This window comes from Homo sapiens, chromosome X, assembly GCF_000001405.40.
Source record: "Homo sapiens chromosome X, GRCh38.p14 Primary Assembly".
NCBI lineage: Eukaryota > Metazoa > Chordata > Mammalia > Primates > Hominidae > Homo > Homo sapiens.
The window spans coordinates 10,444,209-10,465,206 of NC_000023.11; the positions used below are offsets into that span (position 1 = coordinate 10,444,209).

At 39.8% G+C, this 20,998-nt stretch overlaps 1 protein-coding gene across 6 annotated transcripts in view, besides 1 other annotated feature; it reads right to left on the minus strand.

Annotated features, from left to right (window-relative positions):
- MID1 (midline 1) overlaps positions 1,102–20,998 on the minus strand; it is a 388,374-nt gene continuing 368,477 nt past the window's right edge. For 5 of the 6 annotated variants that reach the window (NM_033290.4, NM_001098624.2, NM_033289.2 and 2 more), the window contains exons 8-10: positions 15,438–15,599; positions 10,662–10,869; positions 1,102–5,508 (exon numbers count right to left, since the gene is read on the minus strand). In NM_033290.4, the coding sequence (NP_150632.1) occupies positions 5,160–5,508; positions 10,662–10,869; positions 15,438–15,599 (719 nt within the window). In that variant the 3' untranslated portion in view covers positions 1,102–5,159. The remainder of the gene's footprint in view (positions 5,509–10,661; positions 10,870–15,437; positions 15,600–20,998) is intronic. The other variant, NM_000381.4, reaches the window with a different exon arrangement.
- Positions 4,731–5,930: an enhancer, noted in NCBI's record as "BRD4-independent group 4 enhancer chrX:10416979-10418178 (GRCh37/hg19 assembly coordinates)". NCBI's record gives its function as "activates an origin of replication core promoter dependent on BRD2, P300/CBP, MED14 and CDK7 cofactors, and independent of BRD4, by STARR-seq in HCT116 cells {active_cell/tissue: HCT116}" and the evidence as "EXISTENCE:reporter gene assay evidence [ECO:0000049][PMID:35650434]".

Here is a 20,998-nt window from a genome sequence, read left to right on the forward strand (position 1 = left end):
TTTTCCAGGAGTTCTGTGATTTCACAGAATTTATGGTAAGTCATTGTTGAAAGGACCTTTAAGAGCTTACAGAGGCCTAGACAAGAAGGCACATGGCTGGGCCCTCAGTGTGTAAGGGGATAGTTAGAGAATACCCTGAGGGCTTTGAGCTGCCAGTCCAGTACCGTGTCCACTACAGTAGGGGTCAGCAAACTACAGTCCACAGGCCAAATCCAGCTCAATGCCTGTTTTTGTAAATAAAGCTTTATTGGAACAAAACCACACCCCTTCATTGACATATCCTTTATGACTGCTTTTTCTCTATAGCCACAGAATTGAGGAGTAGTTCAGTAGTTGCCATAGGGATAGTATGGGCTGCAAACTTTAAGTATTCACGATTTGACCCTTTATAGAAAAAAATGCTGAGCCCTGTGACTTGCATTGGCTGCCAATCCTGGTTGCACTTCAGAATTGCTAAAAAAAAAAAAAAAAAAAAAAAAAAAAAGGAAAGAAAAGAAAAGTACAGGCTGCTGAGCCATGCTCTTGTGCTCTTGATTTTCTCATCCCTCATCTTTCAGGATGGGATCCAGGAATCCTCATTTGCAGAAAAGATGGTTTAAATGCTCAGTCATGTTAAGAATCACTGCATTACATCCTGCTCTCTCTAAAAGCACATTGCCTTGAAAACACATCTCAGGTGGTAAGTGCCTTTCTATATGGGCTATGAGACTGGAAGCAGCTCCCCAGGGCAGTGCTTCACACACTTCCACTAGTATCAAAATCCCCTGGGGTGACTGCTAGTCCCACCCCAAAGATTCTGATCAGCAGGTCTCGGGGGAGGCAGGAGAACTGACAGTTCTAACAAGCTCGCAGGTGATGCAGATGCTGCAGATTCCTGGACCACACTTTGCATAGCACTGACCAAGACCAAAGGCTTGCATCTCTAGTGAGAGAAAGTCAGGTCCATGGGATGGGGTTGAGGATATATGTATGGACCAACTGCTAGGATTCTCCTAGATCACACTGTAAAGACTCCCAGTGCTCTGTTCAAATAATCATTGCTCTTCTCTTCCTCACCCCATCTATAAGACTTGAAATCAAGCAAACCTTGTTCTGGGTTTCCACTTCTATATAGGCTTTCTTTTATTGTGTTTTAAAAATTCCCTGGAGAATATTTTGAGTGTTGCAAAAGAATTGTATTTTGAATAGGGAAAGGCAAATAGTGGATGAGAGACAGTAAAAGAAAATGAATTATATGTCATAAAGTAGTATGAATAAATGGTAGATGTTGAATAAATATTTGTCAACATCATAACTGCAAAAACACAAAATGATGAAAAGGCAACAGAGACAGGCAGAGACAGAGGGTCTTGGTGCCACAAAAATGATTTTATTTTGAACCAGAAAGGAACAGCAATCAAGACAATAGTCAGGGCCGAGGGCTTGGCAGTGTGACTTAAGTACCGGGGATTGAATTTGTCCAGGTGCAAGGAGTGACATAAAGAGAATCAATTTTTCATGTCCAAGCCAAGCTGATACAGATGATGATACTTATCAGTGATTCCCATTTACACAGGCTTGGATTGCTTTTCAGATATCAGATTTTTGGAACTATTTTATAAATATTTTTAAAGGTGATGGAGCCACTGGAGTGTAGGTGAATTGGTGCCCCTCCCCTTTTCTTTTTGGGTGTATCAAGCATATAATCAATGACAGGAAAAGTGAAAGGTTTTTATGAGAGTTTTGCATTAAAAGAAAACCAACGATCAAGTTTCTACACTGCAGCACTGTTGATATTTGAGCAAGACAACTCTTCGTGGTCGGGGGCTGCGCTTGCACTGTAGGATGTTTAACGGCGTCCATGACCTCTACGCACTAGATGCTGGTAGCTTCCCTTCCCCGGCTGCGACAACCAAAAGTTGCCATTGCATTGCCAAATGTCTCCTGGGGGGCAAAATCGAGCACTGGTTGAGAAGCGCTGTTTTCAAAAACATCCTCCTGCCCCCATCATTGTCTTGGTGTGCTTTTTACCATTTTATTAAGATAGACCAGATGGTCAACTTCCCAACACCAAATGCACATGTATGCCAGCATATATGCGTGTCTCTTTGCAGGTATCTGCATGTTCCTGGAGCTGAGATGGAATTCCACGGTCACTGGAGGACGTTAGTTCAGTTCCTCAGCAAGTTTAAGGTCAATATATCAGTACCGTAATAAAAAAGCCTGTCTGTATTCAAGCTGTTTCTTTTCCTCCAGCAGAAACCATCGTCAATATTTGCAGTCAGTTTTTGAAGTCACTTTCTTTTAAAGCTGGAAAGAATCTTCACCCAGGCCCACCCTCATCTTAATCCACTATTTAGAGTCCTACTTGAATGATATCGCCAGCAACTTTCAACTTTGGATCCAGATTTCTTTATTTGTATCCACCAGGAAGAGAGGTACCACGTTTCTGAGTTCTTTTATGAGCACTCGCTATGTAATTTGCAAGGCCCAGTGCGAAGTGAAAACGCAGGCCCCTTGTTCAAAAATTGTTAAGAATTTCAAGACATCAACAGCAGAGCATTAAATCAGGCTTAGGGCCCTTCTGAACTCCTGGGCTCTGGGCATACCCATGACACCAGACCTGGCAGTCTTGGTTGGTGCTGCATTGATTTTGTTGTATTAATTTAATTGGCACTGCCATCTCTTTTGCCCCTGTATCGCAGTGTTTCCTGTGGTGAGGACCCCAAATAATAAAATACTGTGACCTCAATCAGTTTAAAGAGAATGCAAAATTACACTGCAGCAAATTTTTACAGCATACATTTTTTAGACTTTCAAAAAAAAAATTCACACGGGAATCTTTTCTACATCATTATAGTAATTAAACACGGTGGCCTTTCACCATATACATATTTTCCTGTAAATATGACAACCTGGAACTAGTAACTGCTACTATCCACAATGCTTTTAAGTTAGCCAAGAGTGAGACTTCCACAACAAAATTATGACATAATCTCTCATGTCCTTATAAAAATAGCCAAACATACCCTAAATGGCTTACTGTGAAAATTTGAGTAGTAACTTCTTAATATTGAAAAACATTATTTTCATGGAAATATTGTCCTTCTACTAAGTGTTTTATGTTAACATCATAAGGCAAACTGTAGCATTTATTGGTACCTGGAGACCGTGATTTTAAAAACTCAGAAGCTGAGTTTTAGACCCTTTTATTTAGAACCTGTTAGTGTACAAAGTGCATTAAAATATCCATTATCCAGTTACCCAAAATGTATGTAAAAATTACTGAGACAACCCTTTCAGTTTACTCAGAGAAGGCAAACACACATTGCTTTTATATTGTAATAAAAAGAAAAACCTATAAGGTTTCCAGAGAAAGATTGTTTTTTTTCCATTGAGGCGTCCATCTTTTAGATGTGAAATTGTCTTAGGTATCTATCAAAATATTCATCTGGGTATAAATAATATAGTAAATATATAGAATCTATCTGTTAAGAAAAAGGAGAGTGTCTGCTAGGGAAGAGGATGGAAGGACCCAGGAAGCTGGCTTGGCCTCCCTTGAAATCCAGATTTGCAATCACATGACCTTTGGCCACGTGATGCTGAAACAATGAGTTCATTGACTTATTTCAGGGAGGCAGTTGGTTGATTTGGTTAAAAACAAAATAACTAAAAACAATGTCTAAATCCACTAGTCTGCTCAGTCAAAATGGCTGACCCAGTATCCCAGGTAAATATTTTAGCAATTGAAACCATTTATAGAGGTCATGCCCTTCATCAAACTAGAACCAATGCCAGAGTTCTGGGCCAAGAACTGCTCAAGAAAGCCTTAATTCATGGACCATTCCAACGCATCAGATTGGCATGCAAAGAATCCCAGCTGACATTTTATAAGCAGGTTCCTGAATAACGAGTTTGAATTTTTTTTTTTTTTTTTTGGTCTTACAACTCTATTGTAAACTATACTAGACTATAGAGGGACTTCTACATCTTTCAAGATGTGTTTAATAAAGGTCTGTTTATAATAACTTTTGAGGCATGAATCTAGCAAATAGTACTTTATACAATGTCCCTTGTCATTACCAACTCATAAATATTAAGTGTTTTTCAGTGACTTATGTTTGGATGTGGTAGTGCTGATCAGGGCCATGTGCTGATGTCCTGGAGAGCAAAATCAATCCAAAGTGGTGCTGCTATTTGTGACAGAACATGTTTATTTACTCAGCCCCGGAGACAAAAGGAAAATTGATATGGGGGAGCGGGAAATAGGAGAACTATTAAATGTAGTGAAGAAATTTCACAGGTCTAAAGGAACTATTAAAAGGAAGGATAAAGTAGATTCTATACTATAAAACAGAATCCTACCTCTGATAAAAGACAAATCAGCCTGAATTTTTGAATAATCAATAGGATTCAAAATGACTATTTTCAATTGCAATCTCATTCTTAATGTTCTTCCAGAACCCTTAACCCTGAGAGAAGCAGGGCAAAATGTGGCCAAAGGATTCAGAACCTTTCTTTCCAACATTATCCCATCAGCTATGAGAAGGTAAAGATTTAGCCACGGCAAGGTCCGAGGTCCAAAATCAACTCTTTTCATTCTCTGTCTTGCTCTCCATTTTAGTTGATCTGATACAACTTTTTGACATCACAATTAAAACACTTCAAATTAAACCAGAGTAAGAAAGCCTGTTTCCTCCCCTACTAGGTTCAAACACATCCTGTTATGCACCATCGAGGTGAGAAGACCTACCATGGGATCATCATGGGATATCAGGTAAGAAGATGAGTAACATACAAAACTACAAAAGTTTTTGTTTTTTTGTAAGCCCACAGATTGTGATGAAATGAAGGTTGTAAATAGCTGATAAACTTATGGGCCTCTTAATGTGCAAAACCAAGTAATTCCTAAAAGTTGTAATCCTGATTATGTTTCTCTTATAAATAATCTATAGATTTTCCTCTAAATACAAAAAAATTAAAGAAATTATTAAAGCCCGTACTTAATACAAGACACAGTAAAAGGAGAGGAATCTCTTGTTTTGAGCCCTATCTGAGCCGATTTCGGGACACTTCTGGTGAGATTTCATTACACTCATGAAGCCTGTGCTTTCTCAGTCCCCTAAATAGTGGCCTGAACCTTACTGTTCCCCAGAAAGCAGCTCCATGTGGCCAGACGCTCACGGCAGCTGCTCTGTGCAGTCCAAATGGTCTGGGATAGGGAGCCCAGTGATAATCGTCAGACACTTGTTCCACACGGTGAAGGTGGGGCAAACAGGCTGCGCAAATGCGACGTCGAAGGTGTAGAGGTGGATGGAGTTCAAAGCATCATAAAAGGCGATAGAGCCGTTATCATAGTCCAGCAGGATGCCCACGCGCCGGAGGTGGGGGGCAGGCTCAATGGGGATTTCCTTGCTATTGTGTCTCACCACCCAGTTATTGTTGCAGCGGCAGAGCGCCCAGGAAGCAGAGTTCTTCCCAATCCATTCATGCTTCGGGGCTGATTTGTAAGCAAGACCAATGGCATACCTGCGGAAACAAAACAGCAACAACAAAAACAATGAGCCATGTTGCACATGCACGTTAAATCCGTTCTGTGGTCCTCAGGGGTTATAAAAACATGATCATTTGTTGTCCCTGTTCATTTTCTTTAAGTGAAAGCTTGGCAAGAACCCCAACATCTGTGTTCCTCATCTCCTTCCCTCCCAAACATGGAAAGTGGGTGGAAAGTAGTGGGTGGAAAGAAGCGTCGTATTTACCCACATTTCTGTTTTCAGCTCAAACACTACGGAGAATTTGAACTTTGAGTTTTGCTGCTTTTTTTCACTCTTATAAAAATCTACACAATGAATTCGCTAGACCAGTGCTGACCAAAAGAACTTTCTTCAATGACTGAAATGTTCTGCTCTCCTCGATATGGTAACCACAAGCCACATATGGCTACTGGGCACTTTAGCTGCGGCTGGTGAGACTGAGGAACTGAACTTTAAATTTATTTAATTTTCATTAAGTTAAATGATTTAAATAGCTGCCTGTGGCTCATAGCTACCATACTGGACAGCACAACCCTAGACTTCTCCTTTTGACCTTCTTATAATTTTTCATTTAACACCATGTCTGTCATTTTCTGATTCTGAATGCACTTTGCCAAGGGCAAGCACAGAAGATGATTCCCATTTGCAGGGATAAATCCTTTGTCATTACTCAGCCCCAATTTTCTCATGTATATTGAGAAATATACAGTGTTATTTTAAGGAGTAAAGGAGAGAATACATGTTAAGTCCCAGGCACAGGACCTGGCATGTAATATTCAGTAACTGCTATTTATTTTATTATTATTGCCTGATGGCACATATTAACAATAAGTACCAGAATCAGAATTTGAACTCAGGATGACTCAAAACCCACAAACACGAACTACATTCTACAATGCCATCCGTAACCAGAAATTGTGCAGTTCATCACTGCCAAGAGCCTTTCTGATTATACTGGAAAAAAAATTCTGAACGTGTTTGAGCAGACGGATCTTCTGGTTATTCTAAATGTTCTCTTGCTGCTCAAAAAAATCCAAAGAATGCTTTCTACAATGTTCTAAGCATCTTAATCTCTTTTTACCCCTCTGAGTCATGCCTCTGTAATATTCATCGTATTTCAGTTATTAAGATAAACAAAACCCATCACTCTTTATAAAGAGTAAATGACTCACAGTTGAACTTTTAATATGTTATAGCAGAAACCAGTCTAATTGGATATTAACATATGGTACCTTACCCAATGCAGAGAGAAAAATTTCATGGGTCTTTAATAAAATGACATTCTTTAAAAAAAATCACACTGGACTTAAAATACAATCACTTTAAGAGTGGTGTGTTTGTTTAAAAAGAAAATTAACACAACATGCCATCACTAAATCCAAAAGAAGGATGGAATTGATAATCTGCCAAGCCCAGTGTGCAGGCCTGTCTGTCATCAATGTTGCATCCTCTCTTCCCTCCCGTCCATCCTCTCCTGCTTATGAGGAGAATCCAAGTTGCATTTCCCAGAATCCCCTTTCCTGTAGGAGTCTGGGTCAGGCTCTGCTATTGTGATGCCTTTGCACAAGATCCAGAAGTGCTTAGAGGAGGGGAAACACGCTTTCCTGATGGCAGACAGTAGACGTGCGGTTGGTGGAAGCTTCTAGATGAGCGCCTGAGTACACCTGCCTTGTGCTGTGGGCAACTTTGCAGCAGCTACAGCTCATCATGACTCCATGAACTAGAGCAGCAGACTCCCTGACTTCATGCCCCAGCCCTTCCAGGGTCCTGTAAGCTTCTGGCTCCCTTCTGTGGCATGCATCGAGGGTCTCAAATGTCATCTGTTTATTTGATACACTGATATGGTTTGGCTGTGTCCCCACCCAAATCTCATCTTGAATTCCCACATGTTGTGGGAGGGACCCGGTGGAAGGAAATTGAATCATGGGGGCAGGTCCTTTCAGTGTTGTTCTCGTGATAGTGAATAAGTCTCATGAGATCTGATGGTTTTAAAACGGGGGAGTTTCCCTGCACAAGCTCTCTTTTTGCCTGCTGCCATCCATGTAAGACGGGACTTGTTCCTCCTTGCCTTCTGCCATGATTGTGGGCTTTCCCAGCCACATAGAACTGTAAGTAAGTAAGTCCATTATAAACCTCTTTTGCAAATTGCCTGGTCTTGGTTATGTCTTTACCAGCAGCATGAAAACAGACTAATACATACATTTTGGAAAGGTTTTCATTTTGCAATTGTCAGTATCTCCCACCCCCCAAAAATGTTCTGTATACCCCAGTGAATACTATTTCCGCTTTTCAGACAATTTGGAACCTGCATCACAAAATCACCACATCTGTATTGTTTCCTTCTTGTTGTGGCACAGCATTTTTATTTTTTATTACTTTGATGTTTATTTCCCATTTGAACCTTAACTGAACCCTATGAAATAGCTGTGGCAGGTATGGCTGACTACATGTAGCAAGTAGAAACAGAAGATTAAAATTGGGAGCAAAATCCAGAGTTGTATGCTGCCCCCACCCCTTCTGGTCTAATAATCTTTGCATGAACCCGTTATTACTCATTTAGTTAACACCATTTCATAAAACACCAAGTGCACATTAGCATTAGAGAGTAAGAAAATACTAAGTGTATAGTCCATTAAGCAAAGGAAAATACCATTATAGTATCATTAATCTGTGAAACTAGGTACATATTTCCATTGAGCTTGAAATGTGCAGGCAGAATGTAATGTTCCATTAAGTTACGCAGTGAGACACGGAGAATTCAAAGTATAAAAATTATGTCTCTCGGAGCAATGTTAACGTGCCCCATTGCACAGATCATAATGTACACATCAATTTAAAGTCAGGACTATATTTCATAAGCAAATATGTCATTAGCTGTTGCAAGTCAAGATGTCACAGGCATTTAATCGTAGGGGGTGCCCCTTCCTTGCTAATACCCCCCAAGGAAATGTAAAGTGACTTTCTACATGAAGATTTTTCTGAAATTGACACCGTCAGGTTTGTAAAGATTAATTGTGTAGCAATTAATTTTAGAATTTCTTTTCCCCCTCATGAGTTAGTTTTGACATCTGGAGGGTGTTTTCAAGGTAATGCTGATGTGTGTTTATATAACTGAAGTGGTCTGATGGAATTTTGCAAACTATTCATCAATGGCAATGAGATCATAATGATCAGGTTTCATTTATCATAATTAATTATTAATAGAGTAATAATCATTTAGACCCTGGATTCTATCCCAGATTAATACAGCACATTAATTAACTAGAAACATTTGCTTTTTTTGTACCTGCATCCATTGTGTTTTCCTTTGTGCTTTAATTTTGCCCCACTGCAGCTAAAAATTGCAAATGCCAATCTAGCCCAGAGCCTAGTGGGGTGAAGGATTTGTCCTCCATCCTCTGGCAGGATGTTGGAACAGAAAACTCTTCTAGGCAAAGAGAATTATGAGGATAGCAACAAAGGAAAACCTACTCGCTCAGCCAATATAGTATGTACCATTATTGGGAGAGATGGGAAGCTTACAATTCACTTCTTAGATTTTTGGCTAATTTCTACCTACAATATAAAGGACTCAGCCATGTCACATTATTTGCATAGGTTTGAATTGAAAGGTTTTTTTATATATAAATAAGTGTTTTATCATGCTTATATTGAAAGAAACACTGTTATACTCACCATCTTCAGGCTATGCAATTTTGAATGTTGATTTTATTTTTTAAAGCAAGGATTCAGCTATCACTCATTACGTACACTGTCATAAACCCTAGAGAGTAATTATAGCATTTCAAAAATATACCACCCTTTTGTGAATAGCAGCATACCATGGTGGTTAAGAGCGGGGAACAGCAAACTACTACCCAGGGGCCAACTCTGGCCCTCTGCCTGTTTTTATAAATGAAGTTTTATTGGAACGCAGCCATGTCCATTTGTGTAGGTGTTGTCTGTGGCTGCTTTCCCACTACAACAGAAGAGTCGAGTATTAGTGACAAAAATCATTTGGCATGCAAAACCAGAAATATTGAATCTCTGGCCCTTTACAGATAATGTTTGTGGACTGCTGGTTAAGAGCCTGACCCTTGACTGCAGACTTACTGACTCTGCCACCTGTGAGCTTTGTAACCCTGTGATCTTCAGCATATACCTCAGTCACCTCATCAGTAAAGTGGATAATATTAGCACCTACCTTTGTAGGGCTGTAAGGCTGAATAAATGAGTTGACATCTGTAAAATGCTTAGACCAGTGCCTGGCACATACTTGTACCATATGAGGGCTTGTTAAATAAAAATAAAATAGCTCCCTTTTTGATCAATAGCAAGCAGGCATTTGTGAGACAGACGGTCAAAGGGGTGCAGTTGTGGCTGTGGATTAGGCAAGGTTAACTTTGTGAGGTTAACTAATTCCAATGTAATTGTGTCCTGACCTTTGCCCTTATTCTTAGAGAACTCAGTGGGCTAAAGTCACTGGGCTGGATCTAACAGGCCTTTTGAAATTATTCCCAGCCTATGATCACTGCTTCACCCCCACCATTCAACCCTTAGCTATTTGCACTAATTGGTCCAGTCTAGAACCATAAAACATACAAGGCAACAGAAATTAGTTTTGTGTAATGATGAAGAGTGATGTTTAAAAGTAGGGAATGGCAAACTTTTTCTGGAAAGGACCAGAAAGTAAGTAAATATTTTTGGCTTCGTAGACCATATGATTCTCTCTTAACTACTCGATTCTGCTGTTGTGGCTGAAAGGCAGCCATGGACTATATGTAAAAAAATGGACCTGGCTGTATTCCCATAAAACTTTATTTACAAAACCAGGTAGCAGGCCAGGTTTGGCTCATGGGCTGTGGTTTGCCAACCCATGTTTCATGGCATGAAAGAGCAGTGTTAACATGGTATAGCTCATCCAATGATCAGAGCTCTATAATCTTGAACAGAGAACCCACAGGTGTGGGTATTAGTAATATATGGTTGTTGTTTGAATCTGCTGAGTTTGGGGGTGTTTGTTATGCAGTATTATCCTAGCAAGAGCTGACTAATACAACTTTTCTGCATTTTATTCTTTAAGATGCATTACAGTATGGGTTGACTCTCTAAGTACAGAATGAGATGTGCCTTTTTATAACTGCAGGACAATAGAAATAAGTTGCTTACCATGTGCTTCCACTTATGACCACTTCCCAATAATGCCGGCCACTATCAATAAACACATTTCCAGCTACTCCATAGCTCCCCTGGCTGGTGAAGCGTTCAGGTGTGTGACTCTTCTTGGATGATGACTCATCACGTTCTACTGTCAAGTTATCATGGGACACCTTCAGTTTTCGATGAGCAGATTTGGGATCCAGTTTAAATGGTTGGCCTGAAAACAAATTCACAAAACAGAAAAAGGAAGAGGAAGAGGATTGTTTATTTTATCATAACCAATAGCATATTTTCAAAATCAGGTTTAAAAGACAGGAACAAGCCAGCCCTCCCTGAGTCATGCCTCCTATCACAAAGTGGTATCTTATATTTTAATAGTAATTTAAACATTATAAGCAACTTTCAAAGACATTTGCTTGCAAAGTTTTCATAATATTCAAAAGACAATAGAGAGCAGCAACTCTGTGTATAGTACAGTACACAGTAAGAGTGAAAAAGAACATGTTCCTGTCTTCATAAGCTTTCAGTCTACCAGTTCTAAGATAGGGATCCAGTGGTGGCATGCCAACTATTCAACAACAGCATGGATAAGGCTTAGCCAGAAAACATAGGGTGAGCTAGCTTCACGGATTCCAGGTGTATACAAGCAGCACAGGTACATACTGGCTGGATAGCATCCTGAAAAGGAGGAATGAATGAAGACTCCATTTTCAACCACTGCAGTGTTCTATCCAGCATAAGATGCATTCATGCTCAATAGACTTCAGACCAGAAACCAAACAAATCAAGATCTTGGGTCTTAACATATAGAATATTCTAGAGGTTTATATTATTCTGAGATTATTAAAAATTAAAGCATTACTCTTAGGAATTTAGGATGAGAATACAATTTTCAGGCCACAAAATTAGGAAAAAATGTGATAGCAATGCCTGGGTTTTCTACTCATGAAATTATTTATATATAATAAGGCCTTCTCTATTTCATTACTCACATTTGTGTCTTAAAGATTTAAGTATTAAAAAAATCTTGGCAGAGTCACACCTGGACATTTTGTCATAGTTGTTACTTCTTCTTTGACAATTCAATATTGGTTTGGAGTACTGCCTGTCATTCAACACTGCATTGGGTACAAGGCGTTTAAAGGCAGGAAATGCATTGCAACCTGATACAAATGCCATGGTGTCCAAACTCCACAGTCACTGTTGCAGTTGGCAGGTTCCTTCTGCCCAGTATACAGCTCTCAATCACAGGAAAAGGTCTAGTAAATTCAACTGTGGCAATACACGATGCTGGGCGAGAAACTGACCCAGTGAGTATAGGACAGTGTGTGTTGTCACATGTGGGTAGGCCAAAGGATTTCCAGTTGCCTTTTGGATACAAACACAACACAACACCAGCACCTCTAAAATCCTTTCTTTTTAGGTCACGGACCAGCATACTTTTTCTGCAAAGGGCCTGACAGTAAATATTTTTGGCTATGCAGGCCAGGCCATGTGGTCTCTTTTGTGACTATTCAACTCTTCTGCTATAGTGAGGGGGCAGCCACGGACAGGACAATAGGTAAATGAATGGGTGTGGCTATATGCTAATAAAACTTTATTTACAAAATCAGGCAGCCAGATTTGGCCCTTGAGCTATAGTTAGCTGGCTTTTGTTTTAGAAATCTATTTCTGTACATATCAAAGAAAAGCTTAGGCTGGGCTGGTGGCTCATGCCTGTAATGCCTGCACTTTGAGAGGCCAAGGCAGCTCGATTGCCTGAGGTCAGGAGTTCAAGACCAGCTTGGCCAACATGGTAAAACCCCATCTCTACTAAAAATACAAAAATTAGCTGGGTGTGGTGGCGGACACCTGTAATTCCAGCTACTTGGGAGGCTGAGCCACGAGTATCACTTGAACCCGGGAGGCGGAGGTTGCAATGAGCCAAGACCATGCCGCTGCGCTCCAGCCTGGGCAACAGAGTGAGGCACTGTCTCAAAAAAATAACAATAAAAAAGAAAAGAAAAGCTTTAAAGGGGGAGCAGAGAAAACCCTCAAGGGCTGAGCAGGGATTGGACATTCTCAGAGGCCGTAAGATCTATTGGATTACATGTGTAGTTTAAATTTTGACTTGTAAAAAGAAGTCCTTAGGAATGATCATGCTAGCAACTATCAGAGATAAACTATGAACTAAGACAAGAAGAGTATGAAGACAGTTTTGCTTAAAATATTTCAATTTTTAAAGGTGGAAGGTAGAATATGGATTAAAAATGATTGATAGGATACTAATGGGCAGAGCAGGAAGAAATTCCTTAATGGCGCCCATCATTTACAATGAAGGCCAAGTTCTGCTCGGCCTCCTTCCGGTGAGATATATCAGAATGTCAGAGCCATTGGAAAGACCGGCCTTGTGATGGTGACATACTGCCTCAAACATCCTGCCTGCCTTGGCTCACACCCTCACCCACGCATGTGTGGAGCAGAATCATGCAATCTTGGTGAGCAAATTCTGCCCATGCCTCAGATATGTTTCCCAAATAAACCACTACCTACTCTGCCCAAATTCAAGGCTTTTGCTTCAGTGAAGACAAATTAGTTCAAGAAAGAGATTAATAGCTTACTTTACTAAATAATTCAATTCATTATAATATTTGTATGGGACACGACTCTTATTCAGGCCGTTGTTTACTTACATGGACAACTCTTTCAATAATCTTTTGATACTGTGCCCAGCAGCCAGTCTTCCTTCCTTGTAATCCACTCACCACATCATAGTGCAAGAGAGCTTTATTTCATGGAAATTTTCATCCTGCCTGTTTGATTTAAACTCTTCAATCTCTCCACCAATCATTGGTATACAAAGAAACTCCCTGGTGTGGCCCAGGAGGCTTTCGCGATCTGTTCTTGTCTCCAGCCTCCTGGCTCACCTATCCTCCCAACCTAAGACACACTTTAACCACATGGATCAATTTTCTGTTCCATAAATATATTCTCCTTGTCTCTGGGCTTTTGCCCATGCTGTTCCTTCTGCATGGAACACTGTGTCCTCACATCCCCTGCTCCTAACCTACCTTGGAAAGCCTCTCAAGGTTGTGCTGGGGCACCCTGGCTTTGTCAACTTAGAACCTCTCATGGTTATTCCAGTCAGAGATTTCACATATTGAATGTTAATTAGGATTAATGTGCTTTATTCCCCAATAGTCTAGGACCTTTTTGAGAGAGAAGCACACCTTAGGGAGTTGAAGATACTCATAATATCCTTAGCATCTTGCACAGCATCCCAAACACACTTGGTGCTCAAACATATCTTTTGAAGGAACAAATATTTACATGTTCAAATGCAAATCAAATAATGCTGATCTAAGTGTGCATAGGTATTGTGCCATTTGTTGTATGACTGTAAAGAAATATATCATCATGTTATATTCTCTTATGTACTTTTAGAATTACTTTGAGAGGGTCTTTTTGACAACTCATAACAACCCTCAAGTTGTTAAAATATTCCCATTTTAAAACTGAAGGAACACTAAATGCATTGTGGGATCCTGGATTGGGTCCCGGAATAGGAAAGGAACATTAGTGGAAAGCTGGTAAAATCTGAATAAAGTCTGGAGTTTAGTTATGAGTAATTCATCAATGTTAATTTCTTAGTTATGATAACTGTACCAAGGTTACATAAGATGTTAATATTTGGGCAAACTGGGTTAAGGGTGTACAGAACTCTCTGTATTATCTATGGATTTCCTGTAAATCTACAGCTATTCCAAAATAAAAAATCTATTTAAAAATATGAAGAAACTAGCCATATAGCTATATGGGTACCAAGTGGGAAAGCCACAGTCTTCTCATTCGTAATTCAGTGCTCTCTTTACATCCCTTGTTCTTCCTCTAGGATCCAACACATTCCTCTAGGATACAACACTTGTACTGAGAAACAAGGATATAGGTTAAATGAGGGTTCCCCTTGAAAAGCACTTAATTGTTCCTGTTGACTGCCTGGCAACCTCACAACATGGCGCCATACCGACACACTCCAATTTGCTTTCTCTTGGGAGGTCTTATGCAAATAAACACCATGTTACATAACATAATATTCCTAGATCAAAAGGATGTAAAGAAAGAAGAGAGGATAAAACAAAACACATGTGGACAGAGAGAGGGAGATGACAGTATCATGAGACACACATATAGGCCAGACCATTCTCTGTGATGCGCACTGTCCTGTGGATTGGGGATGTTTCCCATCATCCCTGGCCTCTACTCACTACATGCCGGTAGCATCCACCTCAGATGTGACAACTAAAAACCTCTTCCAGATATTACTAAATGTCCTGGTAGGGTGGGGTGGAGGGGGAGGAAGAAGTGTCCCTGATTGAGAACCACAGACTCCGACTGTTTTCTAGAATAAAAGAATTTCTGAAGAGTGATTAGTTGGCTACTCTGCTATGAAAAATAACACTATCCACCATTTACAGAGCCCCTACTGTGTGTCAGGTCTTACATATACATCATCTACTTCTCACAAGAATGCCTCCAGGAATATTTATTTAAAAAATGAGAAGACTCAATTTTTTAAAATTGAGTAATGCAGAGAGAGTAATGGCCTCACGGCTGTGAAGGAATAGAATCAGTTTTGGAACCTAGAGGTATCTGATGCAAATTCCATTATTCCACACTGGCTTTTTACTTGTTTTGGGGGGCTGTCAATGATACCCAAGACAGAGAAAAGGAAAAGAAAGGGGGACAGAGTCAGCTGAAAGAAGAGCAGATAAGACATGACAGCTCTGTTGAGTTCACAGCACTTACTGTTTGTCTTCAACTTCCCAGGCTCACTGCTGCGGCTGCCCGCCTGGTTGATGGCCTTGACCATGAAGATGTACTTGGTGCCGCTCTGCAGACCGTGCACCGTGTAGTGGTTCTGCTTGATGTTGGGTACTATCATCCAGCTATCAGCCGAATTACACAGACCTGCAAAGCCAATCAGACATGGTGCAGTTCTTTGGCACAAGGGGAGCAATGTTTGCATAATTTTAGGTTGAATAATTTCCATTTATTTGAATAGAGTTGGTAAGTGAAGTGCTTTGTCTTGGTAGTCATGTACGAAAAACTGACTTCACTAACGTAGATGTGGCAGATTGCATTTTTGCCTCCAAAATTCTCCCTGCCCTGTATATCCAGGCCCAAATAACTTTGCAGGTGCTCCTTCTAAAGAGGTGCAATATATTTCCCTGTCATGTGGCTTTGAATTTGGTCAAGTGACTTGCTTTGGTCAATAGCATGAGGCTGAAATGACAATGTGCTAGTTGCAAGAGTAGGCATGACAAAACCTTGAGGGTTTCTGTTGACCCTTTGTGTCTGCCACTGCTCTGGAGAAAATATGCCTAGGATACTCTGTTTATCCCAACAGGATGAGACAGGGAACAGCTTTACCATGCAGCCAACGCCCAGCCAGTGCAGGAGTGAACCAAGCAGCGATCAGCCAACCCCAACCGACCTCCAACAGGGAAGCTAAGAAATGATCATCATCCCTAGGATGACTGGTTTCAGAGTGGAGTGGGGCTGTTGCTCTGGCTGCATCCTGCAGGATGTGGGTTGGGGAGCAGACCGAGTATTTATGATGCTTGGAAGAATATGTAGGAAAAGGAAGCCCATCTTGTTTTGCAGCTGGTTGATGGCTGAAAACATCTCTTTGGTATCAGGTCCAACTCCCCTCTCTCCTTTTTCCACCCATCAATCTCCACTCCAATAGAACCTTTTTCCAAACCCTTGGTGACCAGGCTGTCAAGAAGTTTCCTGACTCTGTTGAATTTCCTTCACTGATCCCTGGGAGAGGGCTGGGCCCCCTCCACTTCCAGAGGACTCCAAAGCCACCACCCCACTCCTCTTTCAATTGATTTGCAAGTCAAAGGGTTAGTTCCTTTGATCTTGAGGCAACTTATACTTTACCAGATTCTCAAGAAGCAGTCCCTTAATCTTTTTTTGGTCTCACCTCTTTGATAATCTAATAAAACCTTTCTGTAGTAAGAAATTCACAAATGCATATACACACCAAACCACAAATATATGCATAGAATTTCAAGGTAGTCACAGGCTCCCGAAGCCTGTCTTTGAATCTTACTGAATACTTACTTACTCCATCTTTTGAGTTAAAAATTATTCATGGTATTGTCACAGTTGAAAAATTCACCTTATATGATTTCCATCTTGGGTGCATAATATTTTCAAGTACACATCAGTGAATTAAATATATATATATATATATGTATGTATGTATATATCATCTAAAGATATCTAAAGATACACACACACACACACACACACACACACATATTTGGTCTTGTGAATTTTCTGTTGCCTTTTTTTTTTTTTTTCTCTAACCTGCAAACATTTTCGCCAGTGGACTGCCAGATTTGAAAAAGCCAGCTTGAAGCAAGAATGTAATTTAGGACTCATAGAAGGGTTTGAGTGTGTGTGTGTTTATATTTGGAGATTCAGCAGAGCAATAAGAGGCACAATCCATCCCTCCTCCCCAAATTTATTTTCTCTAATTCTTAGCCCTCTGTTTTCCTACCAATTCTCATTTGCATATGATGCAGGAAAACATCCACAAATAGTTTAGTAACATGGGAATCTCCTTACTATATATCCCTTCTGATCTTCCTTCACCTTACCTTTTCCTTGAACATAGCTATAATAAACTCCATACTTCTGGATAATGCCACAGCCAAATATTAGATTTTGATCCAATCAAAGAAGGGTCATTTTGAACTCTGAGTTCTGGGCCCCAAGAGGCCTATAACTCTCTTTAGGTACTTAATATTATTACAGTAGTAATAAAACAAAAAATTAGCTTTTCTATTATGTAGGATAGTGTACTCATATTCCTAGATCTTTGTCAATGGCAGTCAGCCACGAATGAGAACAATTAAGGCATTCAGTAGATTCAAATGAGAATCGTATCAATTTCACTGCCTTTATACTGTTCCTGTTTAATTGAATATGTTACAAAAAAATGACTATTGTGGTCAAAGAAAGCAAGTGTAAAAATGTTTCAATAAACTTTACATCACTGTACAACCCAAAAGCTGGGTTTAATGTGGTGGGGGAACGCTTTCAGTAACATCATAAAGCAGATGTCTGAAATTGCTGAAAACTGTAACTTGGCCTAAAATCCAAAGTCTTAACCCAACAAAGATTTTATGTTTCAGAAACCTTTTCCAAACAAAAAGGGACTCTGACTATCCTGATTATTTTGAAGAGGTCCCTATTTTTTCCTTGAAAATTAAAAGAACAAAATGTTTATGAAGTAGTAAAATTTCATTGGTTAGCTTTATACTGGGACAATCTACTTTCATGAATACTAACAAACACTATTACTGTTTAGGTTTACCTTTATGTTATTATTATTGCCAAGATAATAATTGAGAAGTTGATTAAAAATGCCAGGAAAGCAACATTGACAATTTTCTTCTGGGGGCTGGAGTAAGTGGGGTGACTTGGAGTGCACCATTACCGGTGTTGGTCTTACGCCAGCACCACCTAACTTCTTGCATATGGCACTGAGTTTGCTTAAGCAAGACTTCTCTGCCTTGACACCCCACTGTGTTAGGACTCTTGACCAGGCTTTATTCATCTCTTTATGAAACACCCACACAACCATCCTGATTGAAACTTCACTTTTCTCCAAACTCATTTTCAGTCATCTTTGAGGGTGTTCCAACATTCACCTCCTCCGACTCAGTTTAAAATAACAACGGAGCTTGGAAAATAATTTGTCCACAATGAAACCTAATTAATTGAGTTTTTTGATTTTATACATTTTTTTTTTCATTCACAATGGGTTAGAAGCATTTCCCTACATAATGTGGCTCATTATAAGATCTTAATTACATCTGGGATTTCAGAGCCTTGTATGGCAACTGTCATCTTGCCACAAAAAATTATGTGTAAAAATGTCACATGATGTGGACAGTCTTAGGAGAGGCTGCACACTGGTTTCTAACATCCTTTGTCTCTTCCAACAGACTGGACAGAAGTGAACATTCCTTTCCTTCTCCTCTGTAAAAATAGTATATGTTTAATAATTTTCATGAATGTTTTCTAAGTGACTACAATAAATTAAAAACAGATAACTACTTAGCCATTAAGGCTTGAAAAAAATGCAGCTTTTGATTTCTGCTAAGAATAAGAATAGGCTGCTGGGGAAAGGACCCAATTTAAGACTTAAAATGAAGCATCAAAAGTAGTTTTAGAGAAAACGTGGCAAACGTTGTAAAATTAAATAAATATCTAGTTATTGATAAGCAATTCATTAACATCTATAGTCATAACTCTATTAACAAAAATAAAAAATAAAAATTAATGTCATTACTTTTGCATTTGAATGTATGTATTTCATTAGTGAGGGCCTTTTCGTAAGATTGAAAAAGCTCCATAGATATTATCTAAGTCTCCTTCACTAACGCCAGTTGAAGGCAATTAACTACAATTTATTAGGATGAGTGAAGGAACCATGACCTAGAGACAGTAAAAGATTTTCTAGTGATATAAGGAGCTACAGCCAGGTTTTGAGCATTATATCTTCTCATTTTCAGTAGAGTTTTACCATTAGACCTTGTCACGCAATACAACATCTGCAAAGGATACTTCTCCAAATAATAGGACAGATTATTTAACATCATTCAAGGAAAGCCTTTCACATACTGATTGTGTAAAAAGCTATCATGTAGATAATCCTGGAAAATTGCAAAACTGGTCTTTCTTTTAAAATGCAATTATGGGGTGAGTACAGTCCGTATTTTTGTAGGAATAATAACTTTGAATATCTATGTGCTACCACTGTGGCAAACACAAGACTAAGGTGTTTACTATTATTATCTCAACCATGTGAAGTTAAAACACTATCCCTTCTTACAGATGAGGAAACGGATTCGGAGGACATTAAATAATTTGCTCAAGACTGCAGAGCTAGTGAGGTCCAAAGTCAAGATTGAAATCCAGGTCTCCTTTGGTCACTACAAATGTGAAAAATATTTAAGAAGAAAATAATTTGAAAATCTTTGCCTATCGGTTAGCTTTTTATCTGAATGAATTCTTTCTTTGTCGCAAATGGATCCTGTAGGCATTAGGACTTCACTATTCTGGTTTAATGGGCATCAAGGGAGGAACACATCCTGATACAAACAACCCGGTGAGAGTATCCCAGTTTGGTCAGCACCAGCAGTTTCACTGTTTTTCTTCCATCCTGGGAGAATGGGCCTTTCTGGCATCTATGCGTTAAAGGCTGATAATCTTCACTAAGCCATTTGCATTTCTTTTCTTATGGCAACTGGTTTCTGGGAACAAAACATCTCTGGAATCACCCAACATAAAGTTCTGAGTTCATTATACTGAGTGGTTTTGCTCTTGTTGAGTTTTTTTATGCATGACCTTTTTGCATCATCTATTCTATTAATGCATCATGTTTGGTATTATTTTCGATGCAAATAGCACAGAAATCAAGTTGGTCACAGTTTAGCCAAGTGAGAAACCCTAAGTTTCAAGCAATAAATATCTTCCTTTCATTTTGGGGATGAGGTGAAGCTCTGGTATTGAGTTAGGGCCTTTTGGCCCCAATTCCTTGCTCCTTCCTTGTAATTTTGCAGGTCTTTGCATTCTCACTCTGGGCTCACCCAGGGGACGTCTTTGACAAACCTCATGTTAGCTAATGTGACACAGACAGGGGCTTAAAAAGAATGTGTGTAATTGGTCCTGCCTTTACTCCTTCATCTCTGCAATCAGGGTGAGAGCAGACTTGAGCTGGATTGTAGGAGGATGAGACAGATGTGCAGCAGTCGGGTTGCCACAGTTATCAGTCTGCCATGTGAGGGAGCCAAGATCAGCAGGGCTTCCTAGTTGACACTCAGTTGACTCCAGATGCATAAGCAATATGAATTCTACTTAGGCCCTGTGGTTGTTGGCTATTCAGCAAAAGCCAACGGATACAGAGCCCATCAGTCAAGGCCAAGGCTACATGTACTCCCAAAGTGTCCATGACGATTTGATTTAAGAAATTTCAGGAGAGGGCTGGGTGCAGTGGCTCATGCCTGTAATCCCAACACTTTGGGAGGCCAAGGTGGGTGGATCACTTGAGGCCAGGAGTTGAGACCAGCCTGGCCAACATGGCGAAATCCCATCTCTACTAAAAATACAAAAATTAGCCAGGCGTGGTAGCACATGTTTGTAATCCCAGCTACTCAGGAGGCTGAGGCAGGAGAATCATTTGAACTCTGGGGGTGGAGGTTGTAGTGAGCCGAGATCATGACACTGCACTCCAGCCTGGGCAGCAGAGCAAGACTGTCTGAAATTTTATATATATATATATATAT